At 45.4% G+C, this 14,893-nt stretch overlaps 1 long non-coding RNA gene across 1 annotated transcript; it reads left to right on the top strand.

The window, feature by feature from the left end:
* Positions 1-6,252: 6,252 nt before the first annotated feature.
* LOC124903515 (uncharacterized) lies at positions 6,253-11,803 on the top strand. Its single transcript, XR_007064692.1, has 2 exons — positions 6,253-9,159; positions 10,231-11,803. It is a non-coding gene; the product is annotated as an uncharacterized LOC124903515 (long non-coding RNA).
* The last annotated feature ends 3,090 nt before the right edge of the window (positions 11,804-14,893 follow it).

The raw sequence follows: 14,893 nt of genomic DNA, 5'->3' as shown, positions 1-14,893 counted from the left end.
GGGAAGAGGTAATGAAACAGTGGGAGGAAATGAATCCTGAGCTGCCAGAGCTTGGGGAAGAAGTGAAAGAAAAAAAGAAAACTATCCAACCTTCACTCTTAAAAAATGAAGCCTCAAATCTGAAGCAGTAAAAGGGGAACACATACTGTGGAAACTCAATGAGAGATAGTGAGAGGAATAAGAAAAGGAGGCAAACTAAATGAAAATAAAGAATTAGAAAACAATAGGTACATTTGAAAGGCAAAGAAGAATTAATTTTATATGCATTAAATATGTCTGAAAGGGGCCGGGCATGGTGGCTCACGCCTGTATTCCCAGCACTTTGGGAGGCCGAGGCAGGCGGATCGCTAGAAGTCAGGAGTTCAAGACCAGCCTGGCCAACATGGTGAAACCCCGTCTCTATTAAAAATACAAAAATTAGCTGGCGCGCTGACACACACCTGTAGTCCCAGCTACGGGGAGGCTGAGGCAGGAAAATGACTTGAATCTGGGAGGTGGAGGTTGCAGTGAGCCGAAATCGCGCCACTGTACTCCAGCTTAGGAAACAGAGTGAGACTCCATCTCAAAGAAAAGGAAAACAAAATTCTGAAAGGGCACACAAGAAATTGATAGTATCAGTTGCTTTTAGGGAAGAAAATTGGGTTGGCCGTGAGGTAGGGTGGAAGGGGTGGAAGGAGGGCCAGGGTGGAAGGGAGATTTTTCACTTTTGTGTTTTTTAAAGTTTTGACTTGTATGAACATATTAGCTCATCAAAAACATTCAAATTAAGCAATACACACCCTGCCTCCAACACACACACACTTTCACAATCTGATTTTGTTACTGTCTGTTTAAAACCCTTCCATTGTTCTCATTTCTCTTAAGATAAAAAGCACATATCTAAAAATGGCTTATTAGTAGGGTGATCATATAATTTATTGTCCAACAGGGCACTTAAGATCAAAAAGATGCACTACAGATGTAAACTGGGACTAAGGCCATCTACTTATGAGGCAGGCCATGATCTGGCCCTTGTTTCCATCTCCAGCCTCATCTGTCACCTTCCAGCCCACAGGCTCTAACTGCAGTCTTACTGAGCTATAAGCAGCCACCCTCTTCCCTCCAGACCTCTCAGCACAAGCTGTCCCCTCTTCACAGTACTTTCCTTCTTCCAAGTCTCCCTACACCCTACACCCTACTCTTTGGCTTATTCTGTATATCCTTCGTGTCTGATTTACCTTACTTATTTAATCAGTTCTAAAATGCATGTTCTGGCCAGGCGCAGTAGCTCATGCCTGTAATTGCAGCATTTTGGTAGGTCAGAGTGGGAGGACTGCATGAGCCCAAGAGTTCGAGACTAGCCTGGGCAACATAGTGAGACATCGTCTTTACAAAAAGTTTAAAAAAAATTATGGTTGAGTGCAGTGGCTTATGTCTGTAATCCTAGCACTTTGGGAGGCTGAGGCAGGTGGATCGCTTGAGCTCAGGAGTTTGAGGCCAGCCCGGGCAACATGGCGAAACCCTGTCTCTACCAAAAAAAAAAAAAAAAAAATTAGCTGGGCGTGGTGGCATGTACCTGTAGTCCCAGCTACTAGGGAGGTTGAGATAAGAGGATTGCCTGAGCCTGGCAGGCAAAGGTTGCAGTGAGCTGAGATCGAGCCACTGCACTCCAGCCTGGGCAGCAACAGAATGAGACCTTGTCTCAACAACAACAAAAAAAAAAGTTAAAAAAAAAAATCCGGGCATGGTGGCTCATGCCTATAGTCCCATCTACTCAGGAGGTGGGAGGATCACTTGAGCCCACGAGGTTGAGGCCGCAGTGAGCTGAGATTGCACCACTACACTCCAGCCTGTGTGAGTGACAAAGACAGACCCTGTCTCTCAAAATAAATAAATAAAATAAAATGCACATTCCTCACCTCCCTACCACCCCGTTACATTTTCACATCTCTGAAATTAGAACAGATCTTGATAAAATCCACAACACGTCACGGTTCAATTGGCAGCATTTTTCTTAGTGGTGCATAAATTAATGATGCATCTTTTTTTTTTTTTTTTTTGAGACAGAGTCTCGCTCTGTTGCCCAGGCTGGAGTGCAGTGGCGCGATCTCAGCTCACTGCAACCTCTGCCTCCTGGGTTCACGCCATTCTCCTGCCTCAGCCTCCAGAGTAACCAGGACTACAGGTGCCCGCCACCACGCCCGGCTAATTTTTTGTATTTTTAGTACAGACGGGGTTTCACTGTGTTAGCCAGGATGGTCTCGATCTCCTGACCTCGTGATCCACCCGCCTTGGCCTCCCAAAGTTTTGGGATTACAGGCGTGAGCCACTGCGCCTGGCCAATGATGCATCTTACAACAGAAGGCATCTTGGGTTTGATGACCGGTGTTATCACACTGTACTGTAACTGCCTAGTTCCATAGCTAGCTTTCCACTTGCTGGGAAAGCTAGTCGTTGAGGGCAGGACTGTGTGTTATTTTTCATTGGGCTCCCACTGGCACTTACTGGAAAAATGGTAGTTCCACGATAAACATTTTCTGAATGTGCATGAATAAATGGATGCAGTTTCATCAACTTTTCTGAAAATACTTTGTATCTTTTTCTGCCTAGGCCCTACTTAACTGGTGACATAAAACTTACAATGAAGCAGAAAATTTCAGAAGAAAAATTTGTTTAAGGACAGGGGGTTTACTCTCAGACATTTCTGCACATTTTTCCCCGTCAACATTTCTGGTTTGCTCTGGGTCTTCAGATCTCCTGAAGACTCTCAATGACTGAATGAAGGCAATCAAGTTCCATATAGAAGAAATCTTTGTGTTTTTAAAAGCAGGACTTTAGATCTATAAAAGTGAAATAAAATTATTGTATACATTTGTATTTTCTTTCAAAGTTTCAATCTCACTCTTTTTTTTTTTTTTTTTGAGACAGAGTCTCACTCTGTCCCCCAGGCTGGAGTGCAGTGGCGCAATCTCGGCTCACTGCAAGCTCCGCCTCCCTGGTTCACGCCATTCTCCTGCCTCAGCCTCCCGAATAGCTGGGACTACAGGCGCCCGCCACCGCGCCCGGCTAATTTTTTGTATTTTTTAGTAGAGACAGGGTTTCACCGTGTTAGCCAGGATGGTCTCGATCTCCTGACCTCATGATCCACCCGCCTCGGCCTCCCAAAGTGCTGGGATTACAGGCTTGAGCCACTGCGCCCGGCCCTCAATCTCACTCTTAACTTGGTTCACAAAGCGGAAGTGACAAATACAAAACAGAAATTCATTTATTTATTCAACAAATATCTGCAGAATCCCCACCACTTGCTTGCATTCTTTTCCATACTGAGAACATCCCAGTGAATGAGACAAGGTCCTTTCCCTCTTGGAGCTTACAATCGAATGATGGTTGAGATACAATGATGTACATACAAATTAAAAACATAATATTTCAGAAGCTGTGACTGCAATGATGATATGTGAATATACCATTTTATTACACTTGTGGGTCCCCAGGCTTATCTGATCATAACAACTGCCAGGGAGCTTGTTCAAAATACAGATTCTTGGGCCCCTGCCAGCTCCACTGAATTAAGATCTACAGCAGAGAGGCTGGGGCAAAACTATTCTAGGGAGTGCTCCAGTAATTCTTGTGATCACCTAGGCTGTGTCAGAACTTTTGAACTTTGGCTGCAAGCTAGAATCACATGGAGAGCTGTGAAGATATGTGACACTGGATCCCTTTCCCATCACTTCTGATTTCACCCATCTGGGATGAGTCCTGCATCTGTATTTCAAAGCTCACCAGATGATGCTAGTGGGCAGCCAGGGTTGAGAATGGAGGGCTACACTGCCTCAGGGATGGTTGGAGGTCAGAATTAACAACTTGCTGCCCACTCCTGCTCAGGAATCAGGAATCAGGATCTTGTATGCAGCTGCTTGCCTGTGTCCAAGATTAAATGTCTTTAGCCTACACCCAGGGACAGATGGGCAGCTAACCCAGGTACTGTGTCTTCTGCGTCTGGCTTTATACCTTTGCCTTGGATGTAGCTCCTCCTTGGATGTGTTTCCTGTACAGAGCCAAGTCTGAGAGGTGACCCCTGCTGTAACATTTCAGCTGGGCCTGGCCTCAATACCCAGCTGTGATAACCTGATGCAACACTTCCACTCACCTAGCACAAGCCATTCTCTCTTAGCAGTTTCTTTGGAATGTCCTCAGTGTATAATTTCCATTAGTAACTTCATTTTGAAATCCCATCAAGCCTACCAGCTGCTATGCCAGGAACCCAAAATGCAAACACTCCAACAGTTCCCCTTTTAAGAAAAGAAGAAAATGTTTTCCTTTTTCAGCTCAAAAATTTCCAAAATCATTATGTCACTACACCTGGCCTCTGAGGGGAGAAGGAGAGGAAAACAAGAAGATGAAAACCCCAGAAAACCCTGGCGTGAGAAGCATTGTCATTCTCTTTTCCTACAACCAGCCCCTGAAGTCCCTACCACTCTAATACATTGTATCCTAACTGGGCACAATAGTAGTTTTTTTTTCCCCCCCAGAGGTAGTAGAGTGCTATGGAAAAAACTCAAGTTCAGGCCTTAGTTGGAGATGTGTGACTTCTGTAAGCCTCAGTTTCCCCATTTGTCAGTTTTGTTGTGAGGATTGGAGGAAGCATAACTAAAGCAGTAAGCATGACACCTGCACATAGTAGGTAGCTATGATTGTTATTGCATCCTCTCTGACTTTCGGTATTTTTCTCCTAGAGAAATGATTATGCTGGGATTTTTTTATGTCATTGCTCAATGAGCTGGAAAAGGCAGCCCTGCTGATTAGAATGCTGGTTTGCAGGAAACAGAGTGGTAGTGTTGACATTTGCAAAAAGCTTTCTTGCTAAACTTTAAACACTTGGCAGATCTAATCCTGCTGGCATTGCCTGTTAGTGATATTTCTATGGCTATAACGGACATGCCGATCAGACACCCAGGGAAAGGGCAGGATAATTGGTTTCCCTCAAGTTTCCAGCAAAGTTACGTGGACGCAAAGTCTATTTTAGCATGGAGGGAACTAATGTGTATTGAGTATTACCTGTCTAGCACATTTGGAGGTGCTCAATAAATGCTGAGAAGCTGAAACTGCATAGGCCAGAATGGACTATGCATTTTTATTCTGTGCTATGTGTTTTGCTATGGATAAATGGTTAATTTCAAATATTGATGTATTTTTTTGAGCAAAGGGTGTGTCAGTCCACATGCTAGGTTCTGGGACCATACCTGTAAGCAAAACAGAAAAGGTGTCTCTGCCTTCTGAGCCCTCAGCACAGAGAGGGTGACAGGGAAGAAACGGGAATATTCTCCTACTCTGTGTGCTAAGTCCTGTGATGGAGAAAGCACTGAAGGCATCTAACACAGCCTGGACTGAAAGCTAGGGAAGTGGAAATATATGCTGGCTCTGGAGGGCAATGGGAAACTCAGGGAAGGACTGAGCCTCGGAGGAACTGGAAACAGGTTAGCCGGCCGGTGCAGGAAGAGGAGAGAGGCAAGGTGAGGAGATCCCAACTGGTTTTGCAAACCTTACTGGATCTTCTGTTGGGCAGGCCAGTGTGCTGCAAGGCAAGGGCTTGTCGTTGCTATTAAAATAATTTCACAGAGGAAAATCGGCTTTTTGGTAAAGTTCCATTTAAAGTTGTTTTTTTTTTAATTACATTGATGGAGATAGTGGGTCTTATAATTTTAGGGCCTCCAAAGGTCTTAATCAGGCTCTGATGGTGAGCTCATTAGGGCAATGGGGAGTTATTGAAGCATTAGCAAGAGGGTGGCGAAAACGCCCTCCTTTCTCTTTGTCTCACCACGTTCCTGAGGACCTCTGTTCAGTAAGCGCAAACGGGCAGGCGTGGCTGCGGAGGTGGAGTCCATCCATTTCCTGGTTTTCTGCTCAGCCTGCGGGAAGGGCAGGGAAAGAGTTGGGGACTTGGTTGCTCCCTGGGCTTGGCACACCAGTTCAGCCTTGGCTTCGGGTCCAGGGTCCCCCACCCAAGCTCCCGTCTCTGGGGAAGCCCAGGCAGGGCGAGGACTAGCGCGGTGATCGGGAGGCTGGATCCTGGAGAGACAGGAGCCTGCTTTCCTGCCCCGAGCGGCCACGACCTCGTAGGGTTGCAAACCGAATCAATCCTCTCCGTGCCACCACCTCCAGTATCTTGTTTGTTCTCTGGACTCGATTCCTCCCTTTATGCAAAATCTGCTGGGACCTCCCGCGCCTGGAGACTCCCGGGGCGGCGTGCTGTCCCCACTGGGCGCGCAGCGCAGAGCGCCCCGGGCAGCGAGAGCGCTCCCTGCACCCAGCCCTGCTCCGGGCTCCCCACCGCGGCCCTTTTCTTAGGTTGTAGACACTCCCGCCCCTGCACGTTCCGAAAGCTGCACATCCAGCGGGAAAAGGCGAGAATGGGGTCGGGCAGTTCCCAACGTCCCCCTCCACAGCCCATCTCCGAGCACCCTAGGGGCAATGCCAAGCAAGCGAAAGACCACAGCGAGGCGGTTCCTCGCTGTTACTTTAAAACAAAGTGTGTGTTTTCTATGTTGGGATGTTAAGGAAAAACAAACAGGTAAAATAAGATGCTTGTAGTCACGACTCAGTGGGTAAAATGCTGTTTCTATTTATCTCCTCTTCCTTCCATCTCTGCTATCTGCCTGCCTCTCTCTCTTTTTATGATTTTCTTTGTTTTATCACACAGGGAATATGCAAATGCATTTTCATTGTAAGAAGTTGAAACAATGCAGGAGATTACAAAGTAAAATGTGAACACCATATTGCAACTCGCCACCCCCATTCCACTTTCCTCCACCCTGGTAAAACCACTGCCTGCCATTTGGTATGCGACATTCACTCCTATTCCACGCATTTACAAGTATGTGAAAGTACACATTCGGATATACACAAATATAACATTATTGCATATATGCACATATGTACATGCACACATAACTTTTTTGCAGTTTTATGTCATGGAGACCATACAGTAAGTGTTCTTCAGATTGTCATTTTCATGTACTAATATGTCTTAAGGAGCTGTCAATGACAGAACATACAGGTCTTTTACGCCATAGCTCTCTTTCTAATAGCTGCAAATTCCAAACTGTGGATTTCTCATGGATTATTTAACCTCCCATTATTTACATTTCTGGTGTTTCTTTTTTTAAATTTTTTATTTTCTTTCTCTTTTTTGTCATTACAAACAGGAAGCAATGATTATTGTATTAGTTATTTACTGCTGCCTAACACAATACTCCAAAAAGTAGTGGCTTAAAAGTATAATAAATATTTATAATCACTCACATTTTTTGCCAGTCAGGAATTCACAGCTTCTTGGGTGGGTGGTTTCTGGCTCAGTGTTTTGCATGGGCTTGCAGTCAAGATGTTGACTGAGGCGTCAGTCAAATGAGGCTTGACTAGGCCTGCAGGATCTATTTGCTCTCAGAGCTGGCAAGTGGATGTGGGCTGTTGGTGGCAGCCCTTAGTTTCTCACCCATGTGGGTCTCTCCACAAGGCTAATTGAGTGTCCTCACAACATGGTGGCTGTTTCCATCATAGCCAGTCATTCGAGAGAGCAAAGTAGAAGCATAGGGCCTTTTATGACCTAGCCTCCGAAGTCACACATTGTCACTTTGGCCACATTCTATTCATTAGGAGTAAGTCATTAAGTGTAGCCCTTTTGTGAAGGGAAGGGTATCAAAGAATTTGTGAACATATTTTAAAACCACTAGTATTACCCTTATACATAATCTTTGTGTAGTTGTGTGACTATTTCCTTAGAATACATTTCTAGAACTGGAATTGCTGGGTCTAGCAATATATGCACTTTTAACTTTGATAATTCCTCCTGTTTGTATTAGAAACTGTTCACTGTCCCCCTACTATCCATTTTCTCTTTTCTTCCTTTTAGCAATGAATCTCCTGAGTTTCAGGTGGGTATGAGTTGAGAATATATTTTCCACCCCCCTTGCTACTACATGGGGACGTGTAACTAAGTTATGACTGATGAGAAGCATTGTGTGCAATTTCTGAATCAGGTCCTTAAAATACGCTGTTTGTTGTACTTCTGCTTTCCCCAGGGAGAAATCTATTCAGAGAACAGATGTGGTAGTGGGAGTCAGCTTCCAGCAGGTGATGCAGGTAACACCCCTGGGGATGGTGGTACAATGTACAGAAAGAACCTGTGTCCTTGTATAACCTTGTGGAGCCGAGCCAGCCTTCTTTCCAGGACTTTCTACTAGCTTAGACTTTTGTATGAGAAAAAAATAAAATAAAGCTTTTATCTTGTTTCAGCCACTGTTACTTACTGATGATTTGCCTCCTCGAAAGCCTCCCCAACAATGTATGAGTATCCATTTCCTCCATCCTTGCCCACACTAGATATTATCAATCTTCAAAAAGCTATCAATCTGATGCCCCCCTAACTTATGACTTCATAATCTCCTTCACGTGCTATTGCTAGGGGCAGGGTGAAGGATATTGATATAAAATTCAAGAAAAAAACCTACCACAATCATATTAATAGAAAACACAAAGATATAATCTTGCTTTTGAGAAAGAAACTGCAATTTCAAAAGGACTCATACATCCCCCCATAGACTCTGCATGGATGCTGTGCCTTCCCTCAAAGGCATTACAGACTAACTGGGAAAAGGTATCTGGACATAGAAAACTAGCAGTACAGAGTGGAACAGTCTGGCTGGCTAATTCCTGGTACTGACCCAGGGAGATTGAGAAGGGAGCTGTGATGGAGGACATTTAGCCTCCCAAAGTCAGTGGTTCATGAATTTCGTATGCTATTCGGGTGAGAAGCAGGGAGAACGGAGTGGACTATCTGGGAGAAAGTTGTGGCAAATGCTAAGGGTACAGGCTCTGGAGTTAGACTGTCTACATTCATGTCCCATCCCTGCCACTTCACTCTGTTGGCACATACTTACTGAGTGCCTTCTGCAAGCAAGATACTATTGGTGAGGCTGGGCATTCCACGAGAAACTCTGCTGTAACTGGATCTTCCTTTCAGAGTGCTGAGACAGATGACGACAGGCTGGGCTTCAGTTCCCTCACCTGGAGAGTGATGAGAACACCAGCGCAAAATTCCAGGGCCATTGGGAAGATGGAATGAAATAGTACATGTAATGGCTCGCATCCATAGTGCCTGGAACATAACAAATGCTCGTAAAGGTAGGTGTTATCATTAAGAAAAGCCATGAAGGAGAAAGTCCCTAGAGCCCCCAAGGTTCCTTTCTGTGCCTTCACTGGTGACTCCCATAAACTTTGTTTTAATGCCCCCGATATAGTGTGGATATTTCTCCCCTCCAAATCTCATGTTGAAGTGTGATCCCAGTGTTGGAGGCGGGGGCTGGTGAGAAGTGTTAGGTCACGGGAGTGGGTCCCTCATAAATGGCTTGGTGCCCTCCCTGTGGTAATGAGTGAGTTTTTGCTCTATTAGTTAGAGTGAGATCTGATTGTATAAAAGAGCCTGGCACCTCTTCCTCCCTCTCTTGCTCCCTCTCCTGCCATGTGACCTGCCTACTCCCCCTTTGCCTTCTGCCATGAGTAAAAGCTTCCTGAGGCCTCACCAGAAGCCGAGCAGATGCCAGTGTCATGCTATCCAGCCTGCAGAACCATGAGCCAAATAAACCTCTTTTCTTTATAAACTACCCAGTCTCAGGTATTCCTTTATAGCAATGCAAAATGGACTAATACAACCCCCCCATAGAAAAACTCCTGCTTTCATAAAAGATATCAGTTCTTTCTCACTGAGGTGAAAATGATTGATGTAGTTTGATGCACTACTTCTGTTGCATTTACACTTTAGTGGAGAACATACTGTGTTTGGTTAAATCACAGGGACGAAAGTCTAATTATGAAATTTCAGGCATCAGCAAAGCTAAACCACAGGCATTTGGGCCAATTGAGGGTGCTTCACTGATGCTGCTGAAATAAACATTTTTAGGGAGCTGGCCCAGTCTTCTCTTCCCTTCCCTTCCCTTCCCTCTCTTCCAGTCCCTTCTTATCTCTCCTCTTCTGTCTCTGCTCCCCTGCCTCCCTTTTCTTTCTCTCCCTCCTCTTCCTCCTCTCCTCTGTCTCCTCTCTGTCTTTCCCTTGCTTAAATGGCTATCTAAGTCCCTGATGATTCAATGTGATTACGTTTCCATAGGCAGGTGTGTGTCTTGTTTAGTCACATTAAAAATAAATCACTTGGCCACACGCAGTCGATGCATCAATCTGTTACTTTCCTCTGCTTTCCAGGAACAGATTGCTCAAAAATCAGACGACTGTTGGGTGAAATGCGAGTGGGGAAAGGAGTGAGATGAAGGGAACAGAGCCCTTCCAAACTCGCCCTTCAGCCTTCCTACCCAATCAGAAAGGAAATCAGTCATGCCCACAATCCTGCCAATAACACAGTGTAGCGGCTGCATTCTTTGGACCAATGACAGTGAGCTGTAGAAGAAATCTCATTTGGAGAAGAGATGGGGGCTTGTGTTTACTGAACATCTACTACGAATCAGGCCCTGTGCTTTTTTTTGCATCTGTTCTCTTCTAAAGGGGAATCAGGATCCTGGCTGAGGGACCCTGGACTATTTCACCTTTCAGGATCTCAGTTTCTTTAGACCAAAAACACTAACTCTTATTTTTTTGTTGCACTTTTTTAAAAAAAATTAAACTTTAAGTTCTGGGGTACATGTGCAGAATGTGCAGGTTTGTTACATAGGTATACAAGTGCCATGGTGGTTTGCTGCACCCATCAACCCATCATCTACACTAGATATTTCAACTGATGCTATCCCTCCCCTAGCCCCCCAACCCCAAGACAGGCCCCAGTGTGTGATGTTCCCTTCCCTGTGTCCATGTGTTCTCATTGTTCAGCTCCCACTTATGAGTGAGAACATGTGGTGTTTGGTTTTCTGTTCTTGTGTTAATTTGCTGAGAAAGATGGTTTCCAGCTTCATCCATGTCCCTGCAAAGGACATGAACTCATCCTTTTTAATGGCTGCATAGTATTCCATGGTGCATATCTGCCACATTTTCTTTATCCAGTCTATCATTGATAGGCATAATTCCTATTCTTTAAAAAATTTTTTTTTGTAGAGATGGGGTCTTGGTATGTTTCCCAGGCTGGTCTCAAACTCCTGGGCTCAAGTGATCCTCCCACCTTGGCCTCCCAAAGTTCTGGGATTATAGGTATGAGCCACCACACTAATTCATATTCTAATAATTCTTTCTGGCATCAGGGACAAGTCTTGGGGTTATTCAGACCTAGCTCCACCCTTTTGGGTAAATTACTTATTATCTCTGAGCCTCAGTTTCTTCATCTCTAAAATGGGGATGGGAATCAAGATCAAATGAAAAAATGTATTTAAGACATCTTTTTAAAATGGACAGCTAATAGTGATGGTGTTTAATCTTTCCTTCATAATATGCACATTTTCACCCTCTTAGAGATTTTTTTATATTTTTTACAGGTTGGAATGGTGGTTTTCCAGGTGGTATGAGTATGTGTGAGTGTGAGTGTGTGTGTGTGTGTGTGTGTGTGTGTGTGTGTGTGTGTGTGTGTGTGTGTTCTTTTTATTCTTGATGAAAATAGTCTGAGGAAGAGACAGCTGAGGTTTTTTATAGTAATCTCGTCACTAATGACAACCAGACCCTGGCCTCCATAAATGCTACTGGGCATTCAGTCAAGGGGTAGCTAGTATCCCAAGATGTTCCCTAGCAAATCAGACCTCCCCTAGTGAATCACATCACCCTTGTGTGATCCCCTCCCACACTGAATCTGAGCTGGCCTGTGACTTGCTTTAACCAATAAAGTGTGTTGGAAGTGACACTAAGCTGTTTGTGGTCTAAGTTTTAAAAATCCTCAAATCTTATACTTTTGTGCTTTGGGGATCCTCAAGTCACTATGTAAGAAGTGTGGTCTCTCTGTGCTGGAGAGATCACATAGAACAAGTGGAGAAGGAGAGACCTTGAGAATATATGGATAGAGGAAGACAGGGAGGAAGGGAGGTCCAACTGTCCCAGCTTCACAACTGAGCCAGGCCTCCATCCACCCCCTCAAGGCACCAGCGAAGTGAGTGACTTATCCTGGATACTTCAGCCCAGTAGTCCCCAGATGACCGCAGCCCCAGCTGCTATCATGTGCAACAGAAGAACCACCCAGCTGATCCCAGTCAACCTTTGGACTCATGAGAGATGACAGAATGGTTGTCTTAAGCCATTCACTTTTGCATTGGTGTATTAAAAAGCAACAGATTATTGAAAAAGTCAGCAATATTTTTGAGCTTTCACTATGTACCAAATCATGGATTCTCATTAGGAGATATATAGAGGAACTGCCCGCAACTTCCCTCAGGAACTTAGTTTGGGCAAGAAGATTGTACAAAGGCAAGTATAAAGATTCTAGACATTTACTAATCCACACACACGTGTGTGTTTGGAAGTATGATGTAAACAGACTGTTTAGTGATGGGGTCATTAGGGTTCAGTTAGGGTCAGGAACACTCCTACAGGGAGAGAGTCTTGAGCTGGATTTTGAAGGAAAGGGCAGGTGCCAGTTCAGACAATGGCTGGGGTTGGAAATGGGGGGCATTGACAGCAACATAGCAATAAAATAGGAGCATGTGGAGTGGGAGCTGAGAAACTCAAGTTTGATATCAGCTGGACATAAAAATAATGGGTCTCAAAGGGGATCTTGCCAAGTCAGGTTCTAGGCCTGCAGCAGGGACCTCAGGAAAGCTGGTTATTTCATGATCTTCATTTTCTTCATTCCGTTTGGTAAAAACATAATTTGTGAATGGCAGCATAATCCCTTTATAAATGCCCCTGATTGTGGAGTCTCCTGGGGGAAACTTCCTCTTCAGCACCCATTGGAGGGGGCTCAGAAAGATGTGTTTAAGCTGTTTATAGAGGACCCTTTTAGGCCTCCCCCAAGGACAGCCCCCAAGGGGTGGGGGTTATAAGGGCCCCTCTGTGTGGCTGATGAGAAGCAGAGACATAAGCTAGGGAAGCACAGCCGAGACCAGAGCTAATTGGTTGGTAGTTGGCAGGTTAATGGCTCACATCAGGGATGATGCAAGGCTGTAGCCATATGGCAGGAATGACTTCAGGGTTTTCCTTTCTTTGCTTCTCTCCCTTCCTGGTCTTTGGTGGGGCTTTGAAGCTCTCCAGTCTGGGAAGATCTGGGTCATACTTGAATCCTCAGCTCTGGGAGTCAAGGCAAGGCCAAAAGGTGATGACCTGTACTATGAAATGTGGACTCATAGGAAAATGAGCCATTCTGCCAGTCCCTTGAGGAAGAGGGGTGCAAGTGCAAGTTGGAGGGGGCAAGGGGCAAGTGGTTCCAGCTCTGGGCAGAGAAAGACTGAGGGGTCAGGAAAACAGGTGGCTCATGACAGCATCTTTCTTCAAATTTTAGGGTGGTACCTTAGTTTATGATTCTACCCAGTTTACTCCATTTATAAACTTAGCATATACTGTTATTATTTTTCACAGTTACTGAGTTAGGCATATGTTCAATTGTAAGTAACAGAACTCCCAGCTAACAGTGGCCTAAGCAATGTAGACCTTCCCTCAGCCCACAAAGGATGATTGAGTGGCCACCACATACCAGGCGCTGTTCTAGGAGCTGGGAAAGAGCAGAGAGAAAAACAAACTTCTTTCCCTCATAGAGCAAGAAGGCAGCCCGGATCAGGGCAGGGCCTTGTCACTGTCCTGAATGCCTGGGGCTTCTGCCTCATGGGCATTGGAGACCTCAGGATGTCCAGGAATCTCAGTCAAGACAGGAAGCAGGAGAAAGAGGTGGATCAGCCTCCCTTGTTCCTTTCAGCAGAAGAGCAAAAGCTTCCCCAGAATCCCCAGCAGATCCCTCCTTACCGTCACTGGAGAACCAGGCCTGTGGCTACCTCAGAATCTTCATGGTTAACTTGGTCACTGTTTATGACCTGGGGCTGCCCAGAACAAGGCAGGGTTCAGTTTGCAAGGGAGAAGGAAATTGGGCAGGTAGTCAGAGTTGGGTTGTCTCTGTGTTTGCAGGGGAGGCAGACACTGGAGAAGGTAAACATTCCATGGCAAATATATCATTGCAAACAGTAAGGAAATAGTGAAATAACTGTAAAATGGCATTGAAACAATCCAAGATGAGGCAAAAAGTCCTTATTGAGTGCTTGCTGTTTCCTACGGTCTTTTCCAAGAAGGACATGTGAAGAGGGAAGGAAGGATCCAGCCTCGGGGGGCTTTCAGACTGGCAGGAGATGACACGCACACATCTGAAACAACCCGTGCCCAGAGAAAGTGAAAAGGGATCTGGTGGCAACTGAATACGCAGTTCAAAGCAGTCATTGTCATAGGCACTTTCCCTGCCTGTCCTGCCCATGCTCCTTCTAGGGAACATGCCCTGCTCACAGCTGTTAAAGGTGTTGACCCATGACGTCCAGGCCCATCCCCATCCCACTAAAAGGTGTTAAAACAAGGAATATCCACTAAAAGGTGTTAAAGCAAGGGTGTGTCTGGTCTCATCGCCTGATTTTAGTGCTTTTAACGCTAAAAGGTATTAAAAGCAAGGAAGATTCACTAAAAGGTAGATGGGACCAAACATGCCCTTGCTTTACACCTTTTAGTGGATCTTCCTTGCTTTCAGATTAAAGACAGACTCCTTGGCACAGCCTCGAGGTCCATCACTGCGCCTGTGCTCCTCTCTCGCTGCCTCCTGACCTGGCCTCCAGCCACCCCAGGATGGGCTGATCCCACCCAGCAACTCACACTTCTGGGTCTTTTCACACGCCTGGACTCGTGTGCACAGATATACCCTCCCCCTCCCCTGTTTTCCAGCTGGTGAAGTCTCATTTCTCCTTCAAGACCACCGCCTGGGGTCATCTCGCCCCCACCCTGACCTTGCTTCCTCTCTCCTTCATGCTGCCCC

This window comes from Homo sapiens, chromosome 15, assembly GCF_000001405.40.
Source record: "Homo sapiens chromosome 15, GRCh38.p14 Primary Assembly".
Taxonomy (NCBI): Eukaryota; Metazoa; Chordata; class Mammalia; order Primates; family Hominidae; genus Homo; species Homo sapiens.
Note: the sequence above shows the minus strand (reverse complement) of the source record. Positions and strands in the feature narration are given on the sequence as shown.